Source organism: Homo sapiens, chromosome 2 (assembly GCF_000001405.40).
Source record: "Homo sapiens chromosome 2, GRCh38.p14 Primary Assembly".
In the NCBI taxonomy this organism is placed as follows: Eukaryota; Metazoa; Chordata; class Mammalia; order Primates; family Hominidae; genus Homo; species Homo sapiens.
In genome coordinates, this window is record NC_000002.12 from 162,808,851 (window position 1) to 162,835,977 (window position 27,127).

Below are 27,127 nucleotides of genomic sequence, written 5' to 3' on the forward strand. Positions count from 1 at the left end.
AGGGTTCCAGGTGCAAAACAGTCAGCTGCTGCTGAATTTTGGATGGGATAAGTAATCATGTTAGCACTAACTTGTACAGTCCAGTGTTTCTCTGCAAGCTTCAGGGTTTGGAGGGTGAAGACTGTTCCATACCCATTTGTGATTAGACAGTATCCACTGATAGACTTTTCTAACCTATTAAAAATTGAATTTTACAGACAGAAATCTGAGTCACAATTTAGATGGAGTCATTTTCAAGATTCTTCAACTGAGAGTTGGTTTGACTTAAGATAATTATTTTCATTGACAACATAACATTAAATATATACTGTGATATAGAATTAAGACATTATTAAACCCTGTATTGTAGAAGACAGAAAGTTGAAGACAAAAATTTACCCAGCAACTGTCCCCACACTTTTCTTGAGGGAATCTGAATAAAAACATTAAAATTGTATATCAGTTTAAGTCATAGGTCTGTTAACATTCTTCAGCTTCTTGTTTCTTTTGATGTGAATTTATGAAGAATTAGATTATTCAGAAGATGCCATTTTTTAACTTGCAACACTAATAAATATCAGAATGACATTTTAGAAATTATTGTTCTGCCTCTTCCTCCTAGAGTAATATCCAAGCTCTATTGATATGTAACCTAACCTCACTGAAGGTAAAGCTTTATTCAGTACTTTTGATTCCTGTAATAACTATCATTGTGCATTTTAGTAAAAAATAAATGTCAGACTTGAAATATCAGAAATACATTTTGCTAGAAATATATTTGGGGAGAGTAAGACCATTGGATCTTGCAAGAATTAAAGTTTTAAAAAATATTTTTCTTTTAGGACAAGGATAACACAAGTATAACTTTTTCATCTCATGTAAACATTTCTAGATATTCTAAAGGTAGTAAATATATAAGCAAGAGATAATTTTCAAATTTTCCGTATTACTGATAGAAGCAGAAGTACTCTGACACTAGAATAACATTAACTCATTGATTTGTAAAAGTTTTTATAATTTTAGTTGCTATCGATTTAAAGATTACAGAATTCTTTTGTAATCATATGTTCTCACCTATTCTTTTTTTTTTTTTTTTTTTTTTTTGAGACGGAGTCTCGCTCTGTCGCCCAGGCTGGAGTGCAGTGGCGCAATCTCAGCTCACTGCAAGCTCCGCCTCCCGGGTTCACGCCATTCTCCTGCCTCAGCCTCCCGAGTAGCTGGGACTACAGGCGCCCGCCACCACGCCCAGCTAATTTTTTGTATTTTTAGTAGAGACAGGGTTTCACCATGTTAGCCAGGATGGTCTGGATCTCCTGACCTCGTGATCCGCCCGCCTCGGCCTCCCAAAGTGCTGGGATTACAGGCGTGAGCCACCGCGCCCGGCCTCACCTATTCTTAATATAATATACATTTATGATCAAATAACATCTATAATATGATATTCATTTTACAATCAAATAAATTGAAAACAATAGAAGTTATACTTTACACATACAAAATAAGTTTATTACACTGGGGATACACTTCTGAAGTGGAGAGAAAAGTGAACAAGTGAATGAAGATAAGGACTGGGTGTCAGCAGAAATTCCGTCAGGAATTTGGCATCACATCATAGGATACATGCAACACACATAATAGAAACCAAATGAAATAGGAAAGAGAAATGTTTTATACTGCATTTGGTTTGAGTAGAGGTCAGCTAATATTAATAGGAAAGGTATGTTTATATTTGCATTTCTCACCTATCTTTAGCCTTTAGATCTGCTCTCAGTCCGCATTACCTTATGCCATCTAACTGATGTTAGATAATTTATGCCAGAAAGTACCCCTCTTGGGAGACTTGGTGAGTAAAAAACTATTTTTTAAATTTTAAAATGCTTAACAGACATGATTTTATGTGTGTCACTTTCTTTTTAATCTGCATATATCACAGTGCAGAATGTTAAAAGTGAATTTAAATTTAGTTCTAAAATCTGATGCAATATGTGCCTCTAAAACTTAGTGTCCTAGTTTATCTTAAAATACAAACCTTCTTTTCGTAAATTAAATAAAAAAGCATATCACATTATAATTGTTCAGAAAACTAATTATGGTAAAGGCCGCTCCCCTCAAAAATGAGAAGTTAGCACAAAATATTTCCCTTTTTATTTCAGAAATTTTTCTATTTTTAAATAACACATTTTAAATGAATTCAATTTGACATAATGAGCCTTGAGATTTGGTGGCAGCAACTCTTATGATGAATGGCTTTTCTACAAAGTAAATACATTATAGATGCTGGTCTTATGTCCCTTTGCCCTCTAGAACATTAGAGTCATGAATTGAATACTATGAAGTGAGATAGGAACCCGAAGGCGTGCATACTTTTCCATTTATTCTTCATTAGATTTTATTTAAACATAAATTTTAAAAAATCTGTCTAGCAAGTAATTGGAGTAATCAGAAAAGTGCAATAAAGATGACTGGAGAAAGGATTGTATTTGAAAATATTATAAACAAATAGAAAGCTAAACAACATTATGAAAAGGTTAAATGCCAGAGAAAGTATATTTAACACCAAACACTCATTAGGTATCGTGTTTGCCAAAGGTTTCCATGAGCCATCTAGTTTCCTCCTTCTGGCAATTTTTTGATACAAGTTTTAGGGTCCCTATTTTACAACTGAGGATTTTACCCAACATCACATGACTCAAAAATATTAAAGCGAGGGTTTGTATCTAGGCCTCGGAAACTAAGTTATTTTTGTTTCGTCACATAAATCTGGCAGTTTGAAAAATAGGAAACATAGGGCTATTCTCAATGAGTTTATAAACTAGATAGAAAAGACACAATTTACTATTACAAAACCATTTCAAAATCAGCAGAGGATTAGGGGTCATCTTGCATAGCACAATTATCCTTTGGAGGAATTGGGTATTTTTAAGAGCTAAAGTTGGCAAAGAAGACTTCATGATTAGAAGAAACTTGAACTAGAAAAATATGACTGAAAACTCAGAAACTAGCACTGCATGATTAAAGGGCAGGCGTAGACTCTTCTGAACAAAGTGGATGGGGTGAAGTATAAAGGGATAAAAAAATTAGATAAATTGGGCCTCTTCAAACCATAGGGTCATGACAGGAATTCAATATGGGGGCTCATGTACTTTATCTTTTCAAAGAAATAGAATAAATTATAGTGTAAAGATTGCTTTAGAAAAATTGTTTAAATTATGTGAGTGTACAGCACACGTGTGTGTGTGTGAGCACATGTGCACACACACTAAATTGAAATATAAAATATATTTTATCTAGTCATGTTTTCAAAAGCTTGATAAGTATCAGGGTGCAGACTAGAGGTAATGTATGGGATATCTGGAAACTTAACACCACAGCAGAGAATTTAGACAGGAAGCAGAAAGAAAAGAGAGGCCCCTAAATATTTGAGGAAAAGTGACACAGTGAAAAAACACAGCCAAAGTGAGATATTAGACTAGCAGTTAAATATTAATACAAGATAACTGAGGGATGCAGAGACTGGCATCTGCAGGGACAACCAGGAGGCTAGTGCAGTAATCTAGTGAGTGATGAGGATCTAGATCAAGGGTTGTGGACAGAAAGAAAGCAAAAGTAGAGACTGGCTTTTCAGAGCACAAACCCACAGGATGATAATTACCTAAGTAAAGGAGGAAGGCAAGGAATAAATTAGAAAGGACATGAAGCCCCTGATCCTATATGCCAAGAGGAATGGGACTTTTTGGGACTAGTTTAAGGTGAGGATTATTCCAAGGAGAAGACAAATTTGGTTTTAGCCATGTTAATCTTGCAGTGAAGCTGAAATAACCTTTAGACATTAGGATATAAAGTACTTCACTATGAGTGAAGAAACAGTTCTACAGGTAAGGTTTGAGAAGTTAAAGTACAGATGAGAAATCAATAATAATAAAAGAATTGAGATTCAAAGACAGCAGGAAGTGAGAATCCAAAAAGCAATGGAGAAAAAAGACATTGCGTTATCAAGAAAGCTAAGAAGAGAGAGTTGACCGGAGTGTATTTCAGGAAGGACTAGATGACCTTGGAGTAACTGGTGACCTTTCAAAGTGCAGTTTCACTGGGATGGCTAGAACTCAAAGATTCCTGGAACTTGAGGATGAAGAATGGTGAGCAAATGCAAGGAGAAGATGAAAAAAGTTGTTAAGAATTTTTACATGGAAAGGAGGGGACAGGAATCAGAGTAACCATCAGGAAGATAATAAACCTCTCTATTCTCCCTCTGAAATTTAGGAAATATATTTGCATGTTCAAAGTCAGATAGAACAAAGACTAGGGAGACAGGAAGTTGGAAATGTTGAAGGTGAGAGGCTAAGTCAGAAAATGTGTGTGTCTAGTTAACATTAGATTACTTCTCTCCAGAACCCAAGCAGGCCCAGGAATGGTCAACCCACTTTAACCTTCAGTTCAAAGAAAGGTGAGACAATCATGGATAAAAAGGAATGCCAAATGTGTACTCTTCCACCTGCCAGAATCAGATACATTCCTCGATCAGGTACACTCCTCTATATTTGTGTACACAATGGTGGTCACTGAAAACTAGGGAAGAAAACTTTATTAGAGGAGGTGTAAAATACCAGACTGCCATCAGGGGTGATTGGTGAGGCTCATTAAAACTTGGTGAAACTTCTAAAATCTTTGGGTTAGCACTTTACCTTCATCATTCATTCTCTCCCAATTATTGCTGGGGAAACTATAAAACCACTGATGGATTTAATGATTTTTTATCCACTATCAACCACTGTTCACACAGCTTTAAAAATTTAACAATTCACTCAAATTTCTACTAAGTCTGTCATTAGGAAAACTTCCTTTTAATATTTGTATTCTCTTTTACATTTTTACACACTAAATATCACAGAAATATTTAATAAACCATGCCCTAGCTTTATTTAGGATTAGAAGAAATGAGTTCCAGTGAATTGTACTGTCAGTTATATTGACACTTACTTCCAAGACTACTAACTTCTAAACTTCATTTCCTAAGAAACCTCTAAGTGAACATGATACAATAGTTCATAAAAATGTCAAAGCTTTTTTCTTTGACTAGCTGATATTGAGACAAATAAACTAAGGTCTGCTGTAATAATATGTCTACAGTAAAAAAAAGTGAATCATTCCATTAAACACATTCTGACTTTTAATAAAGAATTTGAAATGCAGAAACCTGGAAATTGGACAATGTGGATCCTGGTTCTGATGCCAAGCGACCTTGGGCAATTGCTTGGCCTTGGTTTCAGCATTTACAAAATAAAGGCTGTTGAAAGAAAAGAAGGAGAAGAGGAAGTAGGAGGTAGAAAAGGGAGGGAAAGTGGCAGATATACAAGTAGGTTTGCAGGAAAGTTGGTTAGTCAGGTGGCATTTGGGAGGCAGCTACTCTGGGCCAGAATCCATTGGCACACTTCCTAGAAAACATAATAGATGATTCTAATTCCTTATCATCTTAAAATTTTGTGATTCTGCAGCATTTCATCTTTAGATAATATTGTTTTCAATTGACTCAAGGATGGAAATGCCATTATTGTTATCTTGTTTTCCATGAGGCTTAATCTAGTTACTTCATCAATGAGACAAGGTGTGGAAGGCAAAATAGGCCTCAAGTCTTCGCTTCTACTTCTGGAAAAGTAAATCTGTCGTTTGGAACAAAGACTTGTTATCTACAGAGTGGGAGCTCTTTCATCTGTGTAACTGTCAATATATGATTCTCACACAATAAGATGTAATGAATTCCAGCACTTCTGCCTTTGTTACAGAGACTATTAGGGTGTCCTGCTATCAATTATTCATCACTCTCGCCTCAGCTCCAAATAGAACAGTAAACAGATCCAAGGAATAAATATTCTTCACACCGAAGAACTCATCCTTCTACGATCATGGTGTCTAGCTTCAGATAACCCTCTTGAACTTATGCTTGTCAGAGATTTCACTGGCATGCTCTCTTTTGGAGGGGGTGAGCAGCAGTCTTTTTGTTGTTGTTGTTGTTACTGCTTTTTAAATATTCTTCTATTATTCCAAGCCTTCTACTAAGTCTGTCATTAGGAAAATTTGAAGCAGTTTTCCTATCTACTCACTCTCCACTCTAAGACCACATACTTATTTTCCTTACACCTCAGGGTTTTGTTTTCCTACATTTGAATTCCTCCTCCCCTTTTTTCTGCCTCTGCATTTGTCTGTTACTTTGCCTCCCCCAATAACTAAGTAACAAATATGAACTTTGTCTTTTTACTCCAAGAGTCATATTTTTTTCATAAAATAAGTAACCTCTTCAAATATTTCAAATTTAAAGACCACACATCTTAATCTAATGTTCAGTATAAAGGAGAAGATATATTTACCCCTCAACTTATTCTAAACATTCTGGCTGTTTATAATAGGAGGAAAAGAATTATTAAAACTTAGCCTTCTATTGAAACTAGGGAAGCTTTAAAGATTACAAATAGATATAAGTAATCAGAGTAATATTAAAAAATGAGACATGTTTTTTCCCACAAAAACATAAATATGTGTTCAATAAGCTATAATGGCTTATCACATAACACAATAATTAGGATGCAGTTCAAGCACTCCTTATGAGTAAACATTCTGTCATTATAAAAATCTTATGAAGTAATGCAACTGTATGTGCAGTAGGTTTTAGATGTGATTTTGAATTGATTTTGAAGCTATTAAACATAAAGAATAAAAGAAAGTGAGAAACAATAAAACCTGGGTCAGGAAGCCCTGATGGGTTACACAGACTGGAAGGCAAGGGGCAGACAAACACTGAGGAAGACAGTTTATGTCAGTCTCAAAAGTCAATAAAATGTTAATTGTGCATCTCAGATATGCTTGTCTCAGCTCTAGCAGCCACAAATCAACTTTTCTTTTAAAACGTATTTATAAATACAACCAGTACCACCTCTTGGGCACAGCCATATTAATCCCAGTTTAACCATACACTTAAACATGCTTTCTTTCAGTCTTCCAACAAAGTTCTGACATCTAAATTTCAGGATTATGGTGAAGAAGAGATCCATCTGACCACATAAGTAGCACACATGTATCTTTTGGATTACATAATTAGATTTCCTCATAACCTCATCCTCCAGTTTAAAAAAATTTACTTAGAAATCTGCCTTACGGCAGGGTGCAGTGGCCCACACCTATAATCCCAGCACTTTGGGAGGCCAAGGCGGGCAGATCACCTGAGGTCGGGAGTTCGAGACCAGCCTGGCCAACATGGAGAAACCCATCTCTACTAAAAACCCAAAATTAGCCGGTTGTGGTGGCGCATGCCTGTAATCCCAGCTACTCAGGAGGCTGAGGCAGGAGAATCACTTGAATCCAGGAGGCAGAGATTGAGGTGAGCCGAGATCGTGCCATTGCACTCCAGCCTGGGCAACAAGAGTGAAACTCCATCTCAAAAAAAAAAAAAAAAAAAAAAAAAAGACAAAGAAAGAAAGAAATCTGCCTTACATTCCTATCATTTCAGTTTCCTTTCTTCACTGACTATGTGTTTTGTTTTAGTTTGAAATCTGTATCAAAGAAAAATTGACTTTCATTAAAATGGTCATTTCTGCCCTTTCCCATAATAGAAAGTGGAAAAGTACAAACAGAAATCAATAGAAAGTACCCTACCCTGAAGGGCTCAGAGACTATTGAAGATCTATTTGCCACTTAAGAATAAAAATAATGCCCCTAATCAAAACTTGATACATCACCTCCTAATATAGGAAAGAATTAAATGCAATTAGTTTAGATATAGTTTTAAGAGGATGAAATACTTGATTAAAAATTCTGATTCACCACTGCTATAAGAAATAAGTGTGGATAGTAAATATGCCAACGTGTAACAATAGATTTAGTTTGTTTGAGATGTTGCTAAAATATGAAAGGAAAGTGGGAAAAATAAACTAAACCAATGGCTTATCAGTATGAGTAGCCCTGATTTCCTAAATCATGAAAATAAATCCTGTCTACTATATCAGGATATTTCTAGTATCTTTCAATGTTGAAAATTTTTTTTAAAAATACAGAAATGAATTGTAAACTGCTATAATGAAAATTCAACTAACAGAATATTAAATACAAGCCAATTTTCCTATATATAAAAGTAAAAGCCCAGAATTTCAAGAATGTATTTTCCTTTATACGCATTTATTTGTCTTACTAGGTCTGGGTAATGATCATGTGGTTATAGAAGAAAAAATCTGGCCCTGAAAGTAAACAGTGATCTTATGGAGTGAAAGTTCACAGACAGTGAAATGCAAATTTATACAATGTGTTAGATTTGAACCAATGCATAGACTCAAGTAATCAATACCCAATCAAGATGTAGAATATGCCTTCATTCCCCAAAATTCTTGTGTGTTCTCTTCTAGTCAATCCTTAACCCCCCGTCCTAGAGGCAACTACTGTTTTGATTTATATCACCATAGTTTAGTTTTGCCTAATCTTGAGCTTTATGTAATTAGAGATATGCAATGCGCATTCTTTTGTTTCTGGCATTTTTTGCTCAACATGTTTTTGGAAATCATGCATTTTTTATATCAATAGTTTATTTTTCTTTATTATTGATTGGTGTACCATTGTCTGGCTACACCACAACTTAATTTATCTATTAACCTGCTGATGATAGACTTTTAGGTTGTTTCCAGATTTAGGCTATTATAAATGAAAACCACTATAAATATTTCATATAAATCATTTGTGGACATATATTTTCATTTTTCTTAGATACAGACCTAGAAGAGAAATTGCTGGGCCATATAGATGTATATTTACCTTTATAATGAAACAGTATACAGTATTTCAAATGTTTATGTCATTTTTTAATCTCACTGGCAATACATGAGTCTCCGTTGCTCCACATCTTCACCAACATTTGGTGTTCTCAGTCTTTTCAATTTTACCTATTCTAGTGGGTGCTAATAGCATCTTAACTTTAAATTATACTTCCAGTTTCATATGCTTATTGCCCATTGTGTATCTTTCCTTGGTGGAGTGTCTACATAAGCCTCTTACATCTGTTTTTATTTGGGTTGTCTTTTCATTACTGATTGTAGACACACACATATATGTATATACAGAGAGATATGGACATATTTAATATATATGTACATACCTGTAGAAAACAATTTCTTTGTCAAATAAATGTATTAAATATTATCTGTCAGTCTGTATCAGTTTTTATTTTCTTAATGGAAACTGTGTATATACATATATACAGTTTTTATTTTCTTAATGGAATGCTTTGCAGTGTATCAGTTTTTAATTTTGATGATGTCATATTCATTATTTTTTATTCTTATAGTTAGTGCCTTTTGTATTCTTTCTTTGTAATATTTACTTGCTCACAGTTACAAAGATATTTTTGTTTATATCTCAAAAATTTATAATTTTAGCTTTTATATTTAAGTATGTAATCTAAATCAAATTAATTTTTGTACACAGTATAATGCAGGGGTCAATATTTATTTATTCTCATATATTTTTCCAGTTAATCTAGCTCATTTGTTGAAAAGACTTACTTTGGTGCTTTGTCAAAAATTAAATCATATATGTGTGGATCTATTTTTGGACTTATCCTGTCCCATTGATTATTATTTATTTATATTATGCTGATATCAAACTGTTATCATTACTATGGCTTTACAGTAATTCTTAAAATGAGGTGCCTTGAGTCTTCAAATTGTGTTCTTTTCCATGTTTCTTTGGGTTATTCTAGATTCTTTCCATTTTTATACAAATTTTTGAATGACTTTTAGTCTGCTATAATTTTGGTAAAGATTGCAGATCAATTTGGGAAGACTGGACATCTTTTCAATATTTCAAGTTCCAATTCATGAATATGGACTATTTCTCCTTTAACTTCTCTTAGCCATGTTTATGATTATTTTATGATATAAGTCTTGCACATTTTTGTCCAACTTATTCTATTGGTGCTATTTACAGGGTATTGTTAAATTTCATTTTTCAAGTTTTTTTCACAACATGTAAAACATGGCACGGCAAGTGACCAAAGTTAACCCCACCAATTATGGGGCAAACCAGCATCAAGTGCTTCTAGTGATGCTCAAAGTAGGACACATGACTTATTTATTAAACCTGATGAAAATCTACAACTTAAATCACATCAAGAGGATTCATCAAACAAATCAAAATTGAACATTCTACAAAACAATGAACCTGTACCCTTAAAGAATATCAATGTCATGAAAGACAAGAAGAGCTGCATAAGTAATCCAGATTAAAGGAGACTAAAGAGACATGCCAACAAACTACAGTATGATACTGCTTTAATCCTGAACTGTTAAAAACAAATGATCTAAAGGACAATATGAGGAAATTGGAAAAATTTATAGAGTCTATTAGATAATAGTATTGTATCCTTGTAACATTGCCTGAATAATTAAGTTGTGGTTATATTAAAGAATTTCCTTATTATTAGAAAATAAAATATTGAAGCATTTAAAAATGAAGGGTCTGTAACTGTGCAAATAAATTCAAATGGCCCAGCAAAATAAATAAGTAGATATAAAATAGCAATGTGTATACACATAGATGACACAGACAAAATGTGCAGCACCCTAAAGCAAATGAGGCAACTTATAAACAATAGCTGAATCTACTCGAAGGTTATAGGAGGGTTCATTGTAATATGTTTGCAACTCTTCTGTAGGTCAGAGTATTTTTTGAAATAGAAATTTTAATTAAAATGATACTAGTAAATTTAGGTATATGGATCATTCCTTCCTGTAATTTAGGAAGAACCATGCTAATCTGGTTGCCACTTGAAAGACAGATTTTCTTTTGAGTTGCTAAGGATTTCTACACTCCTTGGCTTGTTATGCTTAGTTTGGAGGCAGGACAATATTTCCCTAGAATAAAGAGTTGGGGGAAAAGGCAGAGTAGTGAACAAGAATAAATGGCTCCTAAACTAAGAGTATAATGTGCTATTCTTTTCTAATAATATTCACAAAGGCTAAACTGAAAATAATTCCGAATGAAAGCCTATTTGCTGTTTTTTGGATTTTGTTTATTTTGTTTTGGTTTTTGTATCATCTTAGTTCATCAAAAGGAAAAATACAATATTTTTCAGCTGCAAATATAAGCACCCACAATAATGCAATGTCCATCCCCACACATTACATAAATTCTACAGTGTGTTTGTTCGGGTATTTCTTTATTCCATAAACTTTTTTTTTTTTTTTTTTTTTTTTGAGGTGGAGTCTCGCCCTGTCGCCCAGGCTGGAGTGCAGTGGCGCTATCTCAGCTCACTGCAAATTCCGCCTCCTGGGTTCACGCCATTCTCCTGCCTCAGCCTCAGGAGTAGCTGGGATTACAGGCGCCCAGCACCACGCCCGGCTAATTTTGTGTGTGTGTGTGTGTGTGTGTGTGTGTGTGTGTGTGTGTGTGTTTAGTAGAGACGGGGTTTCACTGTGTTAGCCAGGATGGTCTCCATCTCCTGACCTCGTGATCCGCCTGCCTCAGCCTCCCAAAACTGCTGGGATTACAGGCGTGAGCCACCACGCACAGCCTATTCCATAAACTTTCACTGAACAAATACAAAATGAAGGGTACACCATAAGTCAACAGGAAAATAGGCAATTAGGTGTGAAAGGTATAATTCCTTATACCTCCATTGACTTTGCCTGCATCTTCTTGGTACTATTTCATCACATACAATGACCTCAACATTCAAGGGTAATTTAAAAGAAAAAGTTAGTTGAATCTGCAAGGGAAGGGAAGGGAGAAGATATATAGTGGCTAACTTGTGTTTTCTTTCTTTCTTTCTTTTTCTTTCTTGGATTGTAACTCTGCAAAAGCTAAATTTGCTTACAAACTCAATTTTCACAAAGATAATTTCCCTTATGTTTGTATTAGATCTGCAAAAATACAAATATGAGTATACCAGCTATATCACTTTCCTTTAACTTTCCTCTGAGAAATAATTTCTTATTCCTTAATTTTGATTTTTTGATATCTGCACTTTTCTCTTGAAATTTGAAGACATCATTTTCTACTTAAATACATGAGAACTAATGAATTTACTTTATATTACAAATCTGAATTAATTCATTATTTTTTATTGTTTTTATTAGAATGTTAATAACTTGCTGCTTTAATGCTAGCAGCCCCAGCTTTTTCAGGGGTGTCCCTCCTACTTAATAAACACCTTTTAGACAACAAAGGTTACACACAATACAAGGCTAATTTTATCACTGGATTACAAATAGACTAACACATATAACTAAGGCCTAATGGAGAGTCCAGAAAGAAAAAAATGGTTCTACACATACCCTATCCACACCCACACTTTAACAGATTCCAAGATAAACATCCTTTACAAAGTCAAAGATACCTTGTAAGGGACTGTTGCCATTCAACAATGAATTCAATCTTTTTACCTTTAGTCCATTGCTGTGCTCATGACTTACTATGGTTCACAAAACGGTTAAGGTTAATTCTCTTTACTAAGAACCTTCAACATGGAATTTACAGAGGGATTGGTTGGCAGTCTTATTTGAAAGAGGTCAGAAGGTGCCATTTATTCTTTAGAGGAATTCTGACTCATTTCTCCAGATTGCAAGATACTGTCTTTGTCTACACAGTAAACATTTTAGGCATCACAAGAATGAGTGGCTACATTTTTAAACTCACTGGTTTGGAAAGCCTAAAAAATGTTCATGAAAACTCTGTACTGTAGAATGGCATACATTTTGAAAAATGTCAGATATAGTTTGTATTCAGAGTGTCTACATATCCAGTTTGCCTGGAACAGTCCTGGTTTTTTCCTATCCCCTTGGTACAATTTGTAAAAACTTTCTTCTTTCACTTTAAAAAGAATCTTGCTTTGGATAATAAATCATACGATCACCTTAACTGTGGTGCTTATATTTGGACATTTACATCTACATACTTTCTTCAAAAGATAGGTTTACAATTATTTTTACATCTTTACTTTCAATACAATTTATCTTGGTTCTCACTAAATCCTGGGGAGTGGAGGGTTGGACTGAGTTTACACCTCACTGTGTGAATTGAGGAACTTTTACTTTCAGACACAGTGGTTTCTGAAACACCATACTGAAATTGTTTTAATATAGCTGAAAGACAGCTGTACACAGAGAAACTGGGAGTCCAAGTTGTCCAAACTGCTGATATTTTCAATATAGCCACACCTAAATTGAGTTTCAGTGTTCAAAATTAAAAACAAATTAAATTGTCCAGAATTTGATTGAGGCCATAATCTCCACAATAAAGCCCCTAAAATTTTACATTTTAAATTTTCAAAAACCGCTGCTAATTTCTTCTTTGACCTATGATGTAAAAATTTGTTTTACATTATTTTACTCAGCCACAGATGTGGGTGCAAACTTCATTTTGAGCACGACACTCAATAGGCATATCAACTTAATATGTATTTTAAACCCAATTCCTTATCACATTTTTAAATTATTTTATTTAGCACTTCTATTGCATTTACTGGGTACCTGGAGCTGTTTTAAGTGCTTTTACAAATGTAAACACGGTCCTCACAAAGCTGAATAAGATAGGTTCTATTATAATCATATTTCCATTTCCACTGATGAAGAAAGTGAGGACAGGGCAGAAAGGTAACATATCACACAATGTGTATGTTCCAGATTTGGACCTAGGCAACATGACTCCAGTGTTCACAATATGAAACATTAGACTATGCTCCCTCCTTATCATCCCTTTCAAACAGGTAAGGAACTACTTTCACTTTATCAAAGAAGTAACTAATAGATCAAACGGAAACTTGGTTAAGAGAATGTGTCTAATGTTTCAATTCATTCAATTATTTAAAGAAACTATTTATTGAGCAGCTACTCTGTGCAAGGAATTGTGGGAAACAGAGGTGAATTTAAATTATTTCTAAAACCCTCCAGAAGCCATGTTAATCAGATCATCCTATAGCAATGGTTTTTAAACCTTACAGTGCATGGGAAACACAGGTATTATAATGCCTGTTGCTTCTAAAGGAGAATAGGATTGAGGTGTCAAAGGCACAAGCCCGCACTCCTGTACAGCTGGAGGCAGATGTTTAATTGCATTTAAGGAAAGAAGATTACAAGCCTCCAAGATTAAAACATTTAAATGCCTAAAATCCAGAAACATTTCACACTTTGCATCAAGGGGAGACCTGACTCCACATATGTGTGTAGTGAGTGTGTCATTGTATCTACGTGAACAGGAGATGGGTGAGGTGGTACAGTAGAGTGCTGAGCACACAGGCTCTAAAAGAAGACAGTCTGCACTCAGATGGTAGCTGCTATGTACTACTTTTGCAGTGTTGAGGAAGTTATTGAACTTCATCTTTTCAATTTGTAAATGAGAACAATAAAATATCTATGTCTTCGGATATGCTAAAAATTGAAAAAAAAAGATTTTAGAAGAGTATAGTCACATTGTAAGTGCTCAATGATACTTATTAGTACTATTATTTAAAATGTTCAAACCACACTCTATTATTTAATTATCTCTAATTACAGAATTTCATATGTTGCCACAGAATAATTTAGCCCAATCCTTGAAATAATTAGCAAGATACTAGTGTTCATGAATGTAAAATAAAGAAACTAAAATCAACAAAAATTTAAAAATTCCAGGATCTGATTTCTGCCTTGAGTTATAGTTAAAGTGGGTGTGGTAATGAGGAGGGGTTGATTATTCCATTTCTAGAACAACAAGATTAGTGGCAAGAAGGCCCTGCCTGGTTATACTATAACATAGTCTTTATTACACTTCATAGTATAATAATGTCATTACTTTTAGAAAAAGTCTCTGGTCTTTTTTAGTCCATGTTTCTTGGAATCTTTAACAGAAGTTAGCACACATAACTTCTGCTGGAATGAAAATTCAATGCCTGAGATTTCTTTTGTCTTTTCCAGGAATTTCACCATCCAACTAAAGTGGTTAAAAGAGCAGGCTTCATCTTCATTCTTTATATTTTAAATTTATAGATTTTTAAATGCTGACAGTCTAACTAAAATCTCTAATTACCTTCTGGAAAAGAAAATTTAGATGTTACCAGTTATTTTTTAATTGCCATATAAGAAGTACCTATGAAAATACTTTATTCTTTTACACTCGAAATTAATTTTCATTTCTGTAGCAGAGCATTAGCTCTGCCAACATTTAGTTTTATTTTCTAATATTGAAGAAAAATCACGAATGATATTATAAAATCTTACTTGGTAAAGATTTAAAGGCTGTAATCGGCATTCTTGATATTTTCAAAAAGTTTAGATTAATAACAAAAAGTATTAACTCTTTGAGATGAAGTATTCTTCAGAGAAAAATTCATCATTGAAGTTATTGGGGCAGCCAGTAATTAAGACAAAATATTGTGTAACTCACACTATACACAGTGAGTATATTTAAAATAAAGAATGTTGGTGGGTATGACATTTCACTAGGACACCTTCTGCTTACTCTGGAAACATGACCTGCAAAGAAACAAGTTCTGCAATTTTCGAATGAATAGATGCCAGCTAATAGGACAGTTGAGGTTGTGCATCATTAATGGCATTTTTGTGTAGTCCTTCATTGGGGGGCAAATTCTGAGAACAGCAATCTGGGAATCCATAAATCCTACTGAGCCTTGGTTAAGTGACATTCATTATAAAGAACACCTGGAGGGAAGACCTGACAATTGAGTCACAGCTAGAAAGATCAGATTACCAGAGCTCTGCAGGTCTTGGTTAAATAAGGCAGCCTAGGAAGAGAATAATCTTTCCCTACATTCATTTCAATACTATTATATTGGAATAAATTTAGCAGTTTATCTGATACTGTGTTATAATTCTGTTGCTTATATCTTTCCTCACGTATCATATGTAATTTTGAGCATTTGATGTCACTATAAGTGGCATTTCATAAGTGAATTTCACTTCTGTTACATGATATCCTAGAAGATTGTTTATTTATTATGACTTTGCTAACTTTCCTGGCCATCAGTTTGCATCTCAGCAAAACTATATATATATATGTAGAGAGAGAGGGAGAGAGTATATTTTAATCTCAATGTATATATGTATATTCAAATAAAAACTACTGAAGAAAAGCTCTTTCATTAGTTATAATTTTCATTATGGTATATTTAGATAATAAATAAGAAATATTGAAATATATAAGAAATACTGAAAATAACTTAAAATCCAACTTATTCCACATAGAAAGGAGGAAAAGTTCAAGGAGTGTTTGAACTTTTAAATAGTAAATTATTTAAATAGTAAAGACTTGGTATCAGTTTCTGAATCTGAGGTTTGGAAAAATGCCAGCAAATTACTGAAATGAAAATGTGAATGTGAAGATCAGTTTTTAAAATACTGAAGCTGGTGTGAAGTGGGGCATCCAGCGAGGATACTCAGCTATTCAAGAGATCCTCATTGCTCCCTAGGTTTCAAAATACTTAGCATGTTTTTTTAATGGGAAAATAAATTGCCTCAAATATTTTCTACATGTGTTTTTCAATAAAATTTGAATTACAAAATTCAACAAATTTCAACAAAAATTGAATTGGATCACATTTAGTGATCAGACAATAAGGTACTCTTTCTACTAGATCAACAAAAATTAAAAAGAATGCTAAGTTTTATTGGACACATAAAATGTGCAGTTAAATATATACCTTTTTGCTGTTATAATTTGACAAGAGATTTCAAAAGTTTTAAGATAGACATACTGTTATGCAGTAATTATACTTCTAGGACTATTTAGTAAGGAAAAAAGTACAGGTGGTCAAGATGGTTGAACAGACTTTTGGTACATTTGTACAACAGTAAAAAGTTAGAAATAGTCAAGTGCTCAATTATTATTAAGTAATAATTGTTGGTAATATTCTGTGGATATTAAAACAATTATGGTCTGTGTAAAAATTTTATGTAATCATTAAAAAAATATGCATGTTCAGCAGAAATTTCTCAGTGAGGAAAACAAGCTACAAGCTGTGATACATATAGTGCTGCCCTGGTCTTGTTAAAAACATGCATGAATGCTCACATGTGTGTATTTGTGTAGAAAAATTATAGCTGCACTACAAGCCATCATTGTAACAGTGGATATCTGTTAGTATTAAGATTATGGTTTTTTTTCTATTTTCTCTCTGTATTTTCTAATGTTTCAACAGTGAGGTTAAATCACTTTGACAGAGACAGAGAGTAGAGATATAAGTCCTTGTTGAAGTGGTGAAATCCTGTATCAGCATGTGACTGATGAAGTGTCTTCTGATATCATACAGGCCTTACAATCTCAACCCATGACCCAAGGTTTGGAAAAAAGAATTAAATGTGCTGTGGGACCAGTGTAAGTATGAAGCTGCTTCCAATGTGTAGAGAAAGATAGCAGAAAAATACATCAGCATAATTGCAAGGTTTTATAAGTATTTTGTCATGTGTATTTAACTGAGGAGATCCAGGGAGGGCTGGGATGGTTTGTAAACATGCTTATATTATTATGAGAACATGTAGAGATATTTTTCCTTTTATTGAACTTGTGGATGTTCCATCAGAATCAGTCAACTGTGTTGGCATCAGGGATCTATCTGAACTCTTCTGACCATTCACCTTTTCCCTTCTAGGCTAACTAAGAAGAGTGATTTGTTATGTCTTTTTATAATGAGTTACAGGTTATTAAGTATTAGAATACATTGCTTTATAATATGTAAACCATATGGCAGCAAGTTAATAATTAATTTCTCAGTTAATAAACAATGTTAGAGATTGATTTTCACCATTCTCATAGCAGCAAAATGACAAACACAAGATGGTGAATGCATGAATGAATGATATCTTTCCAGACTCTGACACCTTTCACAGATATTCATCTGTAAATGGGTGTATTGCTGGGTTCTCGTAAGTCTGTTCTTTGCTCTCCCATTTCTTCTACTTTTTAATAACTGCCTTAATAAGTCCCTTCAAAATGTTCAACATGGAGTGGGAAAGACAGACATAGAAACAAATTACTACAACACAATTTCATAAGTGTTCCAATAGAGAAAAGGAAAACACATGAGAAATGTGGAGAAGGCTGCCTGAGGGACTTAGAGACCTTAGAAATGAGCTGAGATTGAAGCCATACAGAATTTGCTTAAAAGTGGAGGAGAGTTGATGAAGGGTTCAGGGAGGGGACATTAAGGCTATCTCAGGAAGAAGAAACCCAGTGGTTAAAGGGAGGAGTCCTGAGGATGACAGCCTTTAGGAGGAGCTCAGGGAAATAAGATAGTAGGCTGTGTAACAGGAAGTGAGTCTGACATTTGGCTCAAGATGTAGAAAATTGGAGGCATTTTAAATAAACCAGACGCTCTCCACACAGTATATTTATGCTTTCCCTTTAAAATACTAGTGGTGAATTTTGTTACATCACATAATCTTGCCAGGAAATAAAACTTTCTTGTGGGAAGGAGAGGGGAAAAGGACACCATGTATGTCCCTGCTACTGAATCAAAATACTCCATGAATTTTCTACCTGACTATGTGGATAAAGACTAGACATATAGTAACTGAGGGGCCCTTAACCAAAAATGCCCCCAAAATCTAAGTCAGTCATACAATATATAGTCCAAAACTGGGACATTTTAAGAGTAAAAGAGAATGCCATTTAAAATGATGCAGATTATAAGCATATACTAGCTATCCTCATTCTACTAAAATCTAACACTCTGCCTGATATTCATTTTGATTGATAAAGTTCTGTTAAAAATGCAAAATGCCATGCTTTATTCACTCTTTGATGTGAATTAAGTTAACCAGATTTAAACCTTGGATAATCAATAGAATCTATGTTTAAGAACTGGAACTAGGAAATACAGAATAGAGTAGGTTGAGGTTTAAGAGGTGTATCATTTGGAGGCAATGTGGTAGAGTTTGCAAGTATAGATAAATGTAAATTGTAAACCACATTTCCACATTGCTCTGTGATCATTAGTACTTAACTTCTCTGAACCTCAATTTAACTTATCTGTAAAATGGGATAACGTCTGCTCCCAAAGCTGTCATGAAAATCACTGAAAGCAATTTATATGAAGAACCAGTCACTGAGTTGGAACTCAATGTTAGACCTTTGGGAGAAGAGCTATCCTGAGTAGAGGGCTGGTGTCCATTGCATACAACCACAAAAATTAAAATCTGAAGAGCACATCTGTTGCATGTAAACCCCTTGAATAAATGTACGGCTAAAGATCAAATGATTACTATTATTATTAAAGAAAACAGATAGTGTATATAGACTTTTTAGCAAACCCAGAAGAAATTTTAATGGATTTAGCTAAGAGGTAAACAGAAACTTCATTAAAAAATATTCACACACCATGCAACCTTGCATAGCTCTAACATTGATTTTGTCCAATTGATATAATCTTAGTATATGCAAATACCTTAAGATTATGTTACAACATGTGATCTTTTTTAGCACAAATGGATTTTTATTTATTACTTGTTCTTTGTTACTTGTTATAAAACCACCACTAGTTTGTATTTTAATTTTTATCATCATGCTCATCATCTTAAGTCATTGATACAGACTTCACTAAATATAAGTAAGAAGAGTGTTTTGAGGCTAAAGGACAATAATCTACATGATGGGCAACAGACATTTTAACTTGTCTTGAACTCATGCAGTTATTACATTTTTCTCAAAATCAATATTTCAAAAAATGCAAAAGAATTAATGTCCTATCAAAATTAAGAAAGAATGATACATAAAAACACTCCTAAAGATCTCAAAAAAAGAGAGAAGGAACAAAATAAAAACAGAAAAAGGAAACAATAAAACCCACAATGGTGAAAGTCCACTTGCTGTTACACTGTATTCTGACTCATCTGGAAAGAAAGTGCAGGTAAGCAAAAGCCACGTGGCTCAGGGAACCTCACACATTCTGCCCGGCAGAGTCTAGTTTGAGATCATTTTACAAAATGAGCCAACTAAAGGCAGAAATGTACCCACAGTCCTCTCTCACTCCTCCCTTGAATTCCTGCCCACTGAGCACCAGCCACAGCTGTTTTTACCCATTTTCTGAGTAAAAAGTAGTGTGAGACATTCTACAAAACAGTGGGAATCATGAAAAGGACAAGTTTGCACACAAGCAGGCCTACTTTAACTTGGGAAAAGTCATAGAAGACGCCTCAGCCATGATTCAGGCTATCATGGAAAGAGCCCATTGCTTTTCTTAATTAGATATTTCATGTAAATTAAAGGAGGATGAGGCAGAGATTATGGAATATTCAGTCACAGCCATGAGAACCTGGAATTCTGTTTTCTCATAACCCATTAACTTTCTTAATTGTTCAGTAATAAGACGTATTTCCTCACTACTATAATTAGTGCCTTATAGCTACCTGACTCTGTTGCTTCTTGGTAGTTCAGTACTATTGCTAAATGCAGACAGCACAGTAAAGAGAGAGAAAATATTCACTTGGCAATTATAATAATTAATGATTAATCAGCTAACTTTATCATTTTACATTTTCAATTGCCATTATTGTATAACTCTGAAATCAAGCTTCATTACTGATTAAGAATTTTCAAGAAAACATGGAGGGATAAATAGTTGCACTAGATATAAAATGCCAATAGAGTGTGTAACATATTCAGTTGGTTGTATAATTGTGCCAACCACAGCAATGAAATCAAGTTAGAAAAGAACAGAAGAAAACTCTGGTTTGGGCTATTAGAGATTGTTGGAGACACTGGTAAGTCATTGGTGGGGTAGCAAGTGAGTGACACTTAGGTAACAGGTTAATAATTTCTGGTGAGTAGATTCCAACTGTTCACTAAATATTTTTCTAGCTATTCATATTCATATAGTTTCAGGCTATGAAGATGATTTAATATCTTAGATTACTAAACAAAACATATAGCCATTAATAAAATTATGGTAAAAATTGTTTTTAATATTTTAGAAGTGTTCTTAAGAAAATGAAAAAAAAAACAAAGCATTACACTTTTCCTATAACACACTTTCCCCCAGATCTTGTTAACTTTATCTGTTTTTTTTTTTTTTCTAACTGCATGGTACCATTTTTCATCTTCTCTTCATTCTTTAAGTAAATACTAACAGTGCACTCACTTCGTACTAGTTACCCTTCCATATATCCTGGACACAGAAATTAATAAGACTTGGTGTTTTCTCTGAATAAGCTAAAAATAGACTAAATTAACTACAATAATGCGTAATAACAAGGAGCACTCTTCAGAGGCTACCCTGGAGCCTAGAACCAAGTGCTATGAGGAGACAGAAGTGCAGATAGTGGGAACATCAGGAAGGATTTCACAGAGAAGTCTTTTGATCTGTCTTTGAAAGGACGATGATGGTTTCTTTCGGGTGAGAAGCTGAGAGAAGGGCAATCCATTTAGAAAGTCTTTGAAATATTCATTATAGGTAAAGAAAAACTTCTAAAGACTAAACAGAGCCTCAGTAGAAGAAAAATATGTTACTTCTTTAAGAAACTCTGAGCAATCAAGTATGACTGGATCATAAGATTTGTGGGAGAAATGAAGGTGGCAATATATTCAACTAATTGATATTTATTGAACACATTATGGAAACCATGCCAGAAATAATGCTGCGTTCTTTATTGCATGCAACACACTCAATAAGCCTAACAACATAGATTATATTCTCCAAATAGTTATCAGTAAAGAAAAGTGAGGCATGAAGAAGGTAAACTCCAACAAGTTCATCTAGTTGTTATCAGAGCTGGGAATCCAGCTGGATTTCTCTAAACATACCTATAATGGTTTGAATGTAGTGTTCCTTCAACATTCATACATTCGAACTTCAACCCCAACATGAGAGTAGTAAGAAGTGTAGACTTTTGGGATGTGATTAAGTCATATGGGCTCCACTCTCCTGAATGGGATTAATGCCTTTAAGAGGCTTCAGAGAGCTGACTGCCCCTTTTAGCCTTCTGCATTCTGCCATGTGAGACCACAGCAACAAAGTGCCATCTTGAAAGCAAAGAGCCAGCCTTCACCAGTCCCAGAACCTGCTGATGCCTTGATCTTGGGCTTCCCAGCCTCCAAAACTGTGAGAAATAAATCTCTATTTTTTATAAGTTACCCGCTCTAAGGTATTTTGTTATCACAGTAGGAAAAGACTAAGACAACACAATACTTGAAATCCCAAGTGAATTCAATTCTGAAGCCAGCCAGTATCCTGGTTTAATGACTGAAAACAAGTTTTCAAGCTGAGGTCTGATATAGGTACATCGAGTAGCAGTAAGACAAAGTTGTTAAGGGCTCAGACTCCACTGTGTATGAGCTATGTGCAATTTGGCAAATTATTCAGTCTCTCTGGGCTTCAGTGTTATTTCCACAAAACGGAGATAATAAGAATATATATTTTATGAGATGGTTGTACCCACTATTTAATATATAAAATTTACTTTCAGTGATTCTTGGCGCTAATAAGCCATCAGCATAGGTGATTCATGTTTTGGGAATAGCTCTCTCCCAGTATGTAGAGGATGGATCGGGGGAGAGAAACTAGATACTTGAATACTTCGGAAGGACAGCAGGCTTTAATCAGACCACTTCGAATATCTCTCAATGCTATTTGAGAAATATTTCTGATGTAAAGATTGAAAGGATTTGGTGACCAGTTGGCTTTAGGGAGCTGAGGGATGAAGAAAAATGGAAAATGACACCAAAGTTTCTAGTATAGATCCCAGATGAATGGTGACACCTCAAAACTTAATACACCAACTGTTACTTCCCTGTGGCTCAACTAACCGGGTACTCTCCTGGCAGGCCAGATTGCCAGCAATGGATTCAGAGATTATTTATACCAAACAACAACAGCAACAAAACCAAAACCAACCAACAAACCAACCAAAAACCTTTGGAAGCCAGTAAAAGCAAGTTTCTCCTGTTAAACTTATCCTGTTCATTCAGTCCTAAACTGACCTGTTCTCAAGCACCTTGGGTGTGAAAATAACTAAGAATTTCTCTCTCAAGCTGGCAGACAACATGGCTTCTTGTTGGTACCAGAGCTTCTTAGAGGTGTGATGTTGGTGAATGGTGAAAAGTAACTGATAAACAAAGCTCAGCCACAGTTTTAGGACATTTGGTTTCACTTAGGACAATACTGAAATAGTTTTCAAATTGTGGGGAAGAGCATTTCTTAAGAATGCCTATTTTATCAACAATTACAACTGATCAAATTTGAATTCTGGATAACATTCAAAGTCCATGAGATGATATAAAATTTGGGCACATAAGAGAAAATGAATTTTAGGATTACTGTTGTTGCAATAGTCTATTGAATAGAATGTAAAAATGTATAAACAGAAAGTTAAAATGAACACCCAAGCAAACTCTAGGCAAGATACGCTCTGAAAATCTTTCTCATTGCTTGAATTACACACACATAAAATATATTTTTGTTCTTGTCTAAAAAGCTACCATCTGTATCTCTTCTACACAATCCAAGAATTAAGAGAGCTGAATGTTTTACATGCCATATAACTTATATAAAGCTATTATGAAATTTTGTGAAATTTCTGTTTGTACTAATAAAATTTTAACTAAACTTCATTGCTTCTTTAATACATTATTATGTATACATGACAATGGTGAAAAGAAGATACACATAAGCATGTTTATTTTAAATTTGGGGAATAGAAGGAAAATAGCAATTAATAATAAATTTTGCAGGTTCTCTATGCAATTAACAACCCCATAGTCCAAATACTCTTTTTCCATTAAAAATAATTTTATAAAAACAGCTGAGATTTAGAGGATGGAAATGAATATTAGTCACTCTGTAATACAAATGTCCTGGAAGCAGAGATCAGGTTGCATCTTCCTTTGTATCTCTTCCTACTGTTCTTACAGTGCCTGGTACATTACATGAGAGAGAGAGGAGGCACTCAATATACATCTTCACCTTGATTCACAAAAACACAGCTGTTTCTAGAAGGTCTTTCCACATAATTTTCAGACATAGTAAATTCAATGCTATCAAACCAAGACCTCTTCTGAGTTTACTTAATCAAAATCTACCTCTGAAACTTTCTACTGATATCTGACTGGATTAGGCAAGGACTTCCCTCAGTCCCTTATCATTCTTCAGTTCTTTAAAAGCAGCATGAAGATAAGAAAAGTAGCACCATACATTTCTGATCTGTTAGTAAAATTGCTACCATAGTGTGTATGAAAGCATAATGGCAAAATACAGGAACGCTCTGACCTCAAAAAATAATATATTTTAAGTCATCCTTTCCTACTGAGTAAAGACGTTTATTTTTCCTGGAGAAATTTACTTTGTTTTTTCAAATGTTTAAAGTTGCTTGATAATTTAAGGTCAAAGTCACATTTGTAAATATGCCTGAAGGGGTTTAGCACTTAAACTAGCTAGCTCTCTTCCGTGATGTACTCCAAACCAGATGAGGGATAAACTTAGTTGTGGGGGCTAACTAAAATATTTTTTTTTTCTGTTTCCTTTCCACTTGCATCATCTAAAACTATGAACTAGTTAATAACTGAAGTCCTTGCTATTTTTTAATCTTTGTTGCTGAAAAGTGTTTTTAAATGAATGTATTATGCTATTAAAATACATGCCCATCCTTATATAAGTCATAGCATAATTATAGTTTTGTATAATTAGAGTTTTATGTCAAAAGATTTACAGCTTTATCACCTCAAGCAATACTTCACAGCTGCCAAGGATGATTTATGCAATAATGACTTAAACTGTAAAATAGAATCCTCAAAGGAAGAGCTGTCAAATATTCCTACTGCAAATAACTAGGTTTTTAAAAATTGATATTCTGATAAACAGCAAGTTTAATTGTGCCTAGCACAATCACATACAGAAGCATAGTAGGAAGTGGTGTTTCAAAATGACGATCATGCAGTTCACCATGAACTGCATCAATGTGAACTCATTGCATAGATCACGGGTTTAAATTGCTTATAAAGCCTCTGGGCCACTTTAGCGAACAAGCTTTCCAAAATAATGCCTCGGTCGTATTTTTACTCCTCCAGTAAGAGCAAATGGAAGAAATGGAAACAGAATATATCAACTTTTTGTTAATTTGTTCATTGGGCTTATTACATCACTCTTCATATTCTTGTGAAATGCTAAATAAAGAATAAGCAAAAGAAGCATTTACTGTATACAGTTAAGAAATCAAGAAACTCAAAAGTCAATGGCATCAATAATAACGAATTACGGAAACTTTGAGAAACAAACCAACAAATATGTTGGTGATTTTGATTTTCCTCCTTCCAGCTTTTATAAATGTAGAGTAGCTGGCAGTAGTCTTATCTCTAAGAGATGAGACTATCCAAGAATTTGTATCTCATAAGCTCTAACTGATTTTGTAGTTGTCATATAAATAAAACCAAGACACACTGAAGATTCTATCCAAGTTATCTGAACTAGCAGCCAAAACACAAGTTTATTACTTTCAAAGCAAACAAGTATGACTGTGTCATCACTGTTTAAAAAGGTCATTCAAACTAATATATTTCTTAAAATATTAAATAAAAAGAAAATGCTTGACCCATTTTCTCATGTTTTCCATATCAATTAAAGCAAAATAGGTAGATTTTATAGTTAACGCTAAAGATATTCAAATCCTTGAAGACTGAGTTACATCTGAAAATGAAGTCAACAGAATCAAAATTTTTACTAAAGGTTAATTTCTTTATACCCAAACAATCCTCTAAATCAAAAGTCCCTTTCTGAAAACAGGGGAGTTTTAATGCATATAACCAAGAAAATCCTTCAAATAGAAAGATTTGTATTTGTCAATATACTAATATGTTCAATACAGAAAATTCAATAATTTAATAGGAATTAATCATATCTGTGATTCTTATTAAATTTGTTTTAAAGTGTTTTGAGATCATTTTACACACCCACATTGCACAACTTTCAAAACATCATCACGCCACTTGCGGTGTAATAGATAACTCCTACTTGAAAACACTCTGAAAGATATACCTAGTATTTGAGCAATTTGGGCAATCCAGATTAATGTCATACTTAAATTCTATGAGTTGGAAAAATCCCTGAAATGGTCTAGAAAACATAATGACCAAAGATGGACCAACATTCACTGAAGTTACCACAATATAGACTGTGTTGGCATCATAATAAATATTCAATAGGAAAAAAATGTCAGACATTCAAATTATTCCAAACGTCCAGATTGTTGGCATCAGATACTCAAAAGACATGAGTTACATTTGGGTAGTGAGAGCTCAATCCAATAAATGTTTTCAAGACAACAGAACAATTAGGCTATTTCTAGTATGCCAACACTACTGATTGAAAAGTAAGAGAAACATGGGAAGAACTTTAAAAACAATTTCTATCTGTTTGATACGTATACTATTGCTTTCATTCCAGATTACTACAAAGTTATACAAACCTGTTTTTAGTAATGTTTTGTAACCACTCAACTTCATGTTAAGGAAAATGTAGTAATTAAGAATTGTACATTGTACATTGAATTATAAGAAAATAAGAGTAAGACTGAAACCTTTTTCCTGCTGTCTTTTTTTCTCTCTAGTATACCAAATGATGAGTCATTATATGATATAGGCTATGGCACACTACATATTTATCAAAAGCTTAAGAGTTTTCTAAAAATCTGAACAGCTACCCCTCTGCCTCAGTAATTTCTGTTAGTGGAATAAAAAGAAATAGATGATGATGAAATATCAACAAAATTAACTATAACATTCAATTTTTTAAAGTAATTTTACCTTTAAGCCCTAGACAAATATCATTTTGTATAGATATATAGATATATATAGATATAGATTTATAGATATTCAGGAATATATATCTATATATACACCTTAAAATGGGCATATCTGAGTATTTATATATGTGAGTTCATTTACATATATATTGTGTATTTAAGGCATGCCTATCTATTACATGTGTAATTTTTTAAGAGAACTATTATGTCTAACTCTTACGGCTCTCATAGCAAGTTTGACAGGAGGTGTTGCCCTCGAAGTTGAGGTATGACCTTAAGTTTAAGATGCCAGATTTGCTGTAGTTATAAAAATCAATACTAATAACTCCACAGTATCATAATTTTTTCTACATTTCTTATTTCAGGACAAATCTTGACTACATAAACAGCCTTTATTG

At 33.9% G+C, this 27,127-nt stretch overlaps 1 protein-coding gene across 7 annotated transcripts in view; it reads right to left on the bottom strand.

The window, feature by feature from the left end:
• The window catches only part of KCNH7 (potassium voltage-gated channel subfamily H member 7), a 467,361-nt gene that overhangs the window by 437,444 nt on the left and 2,790 nt on the right, over nt 1–27,127 (bottom strand). The gene's annotated exons all lie outside the window — the stretch shown is intronic.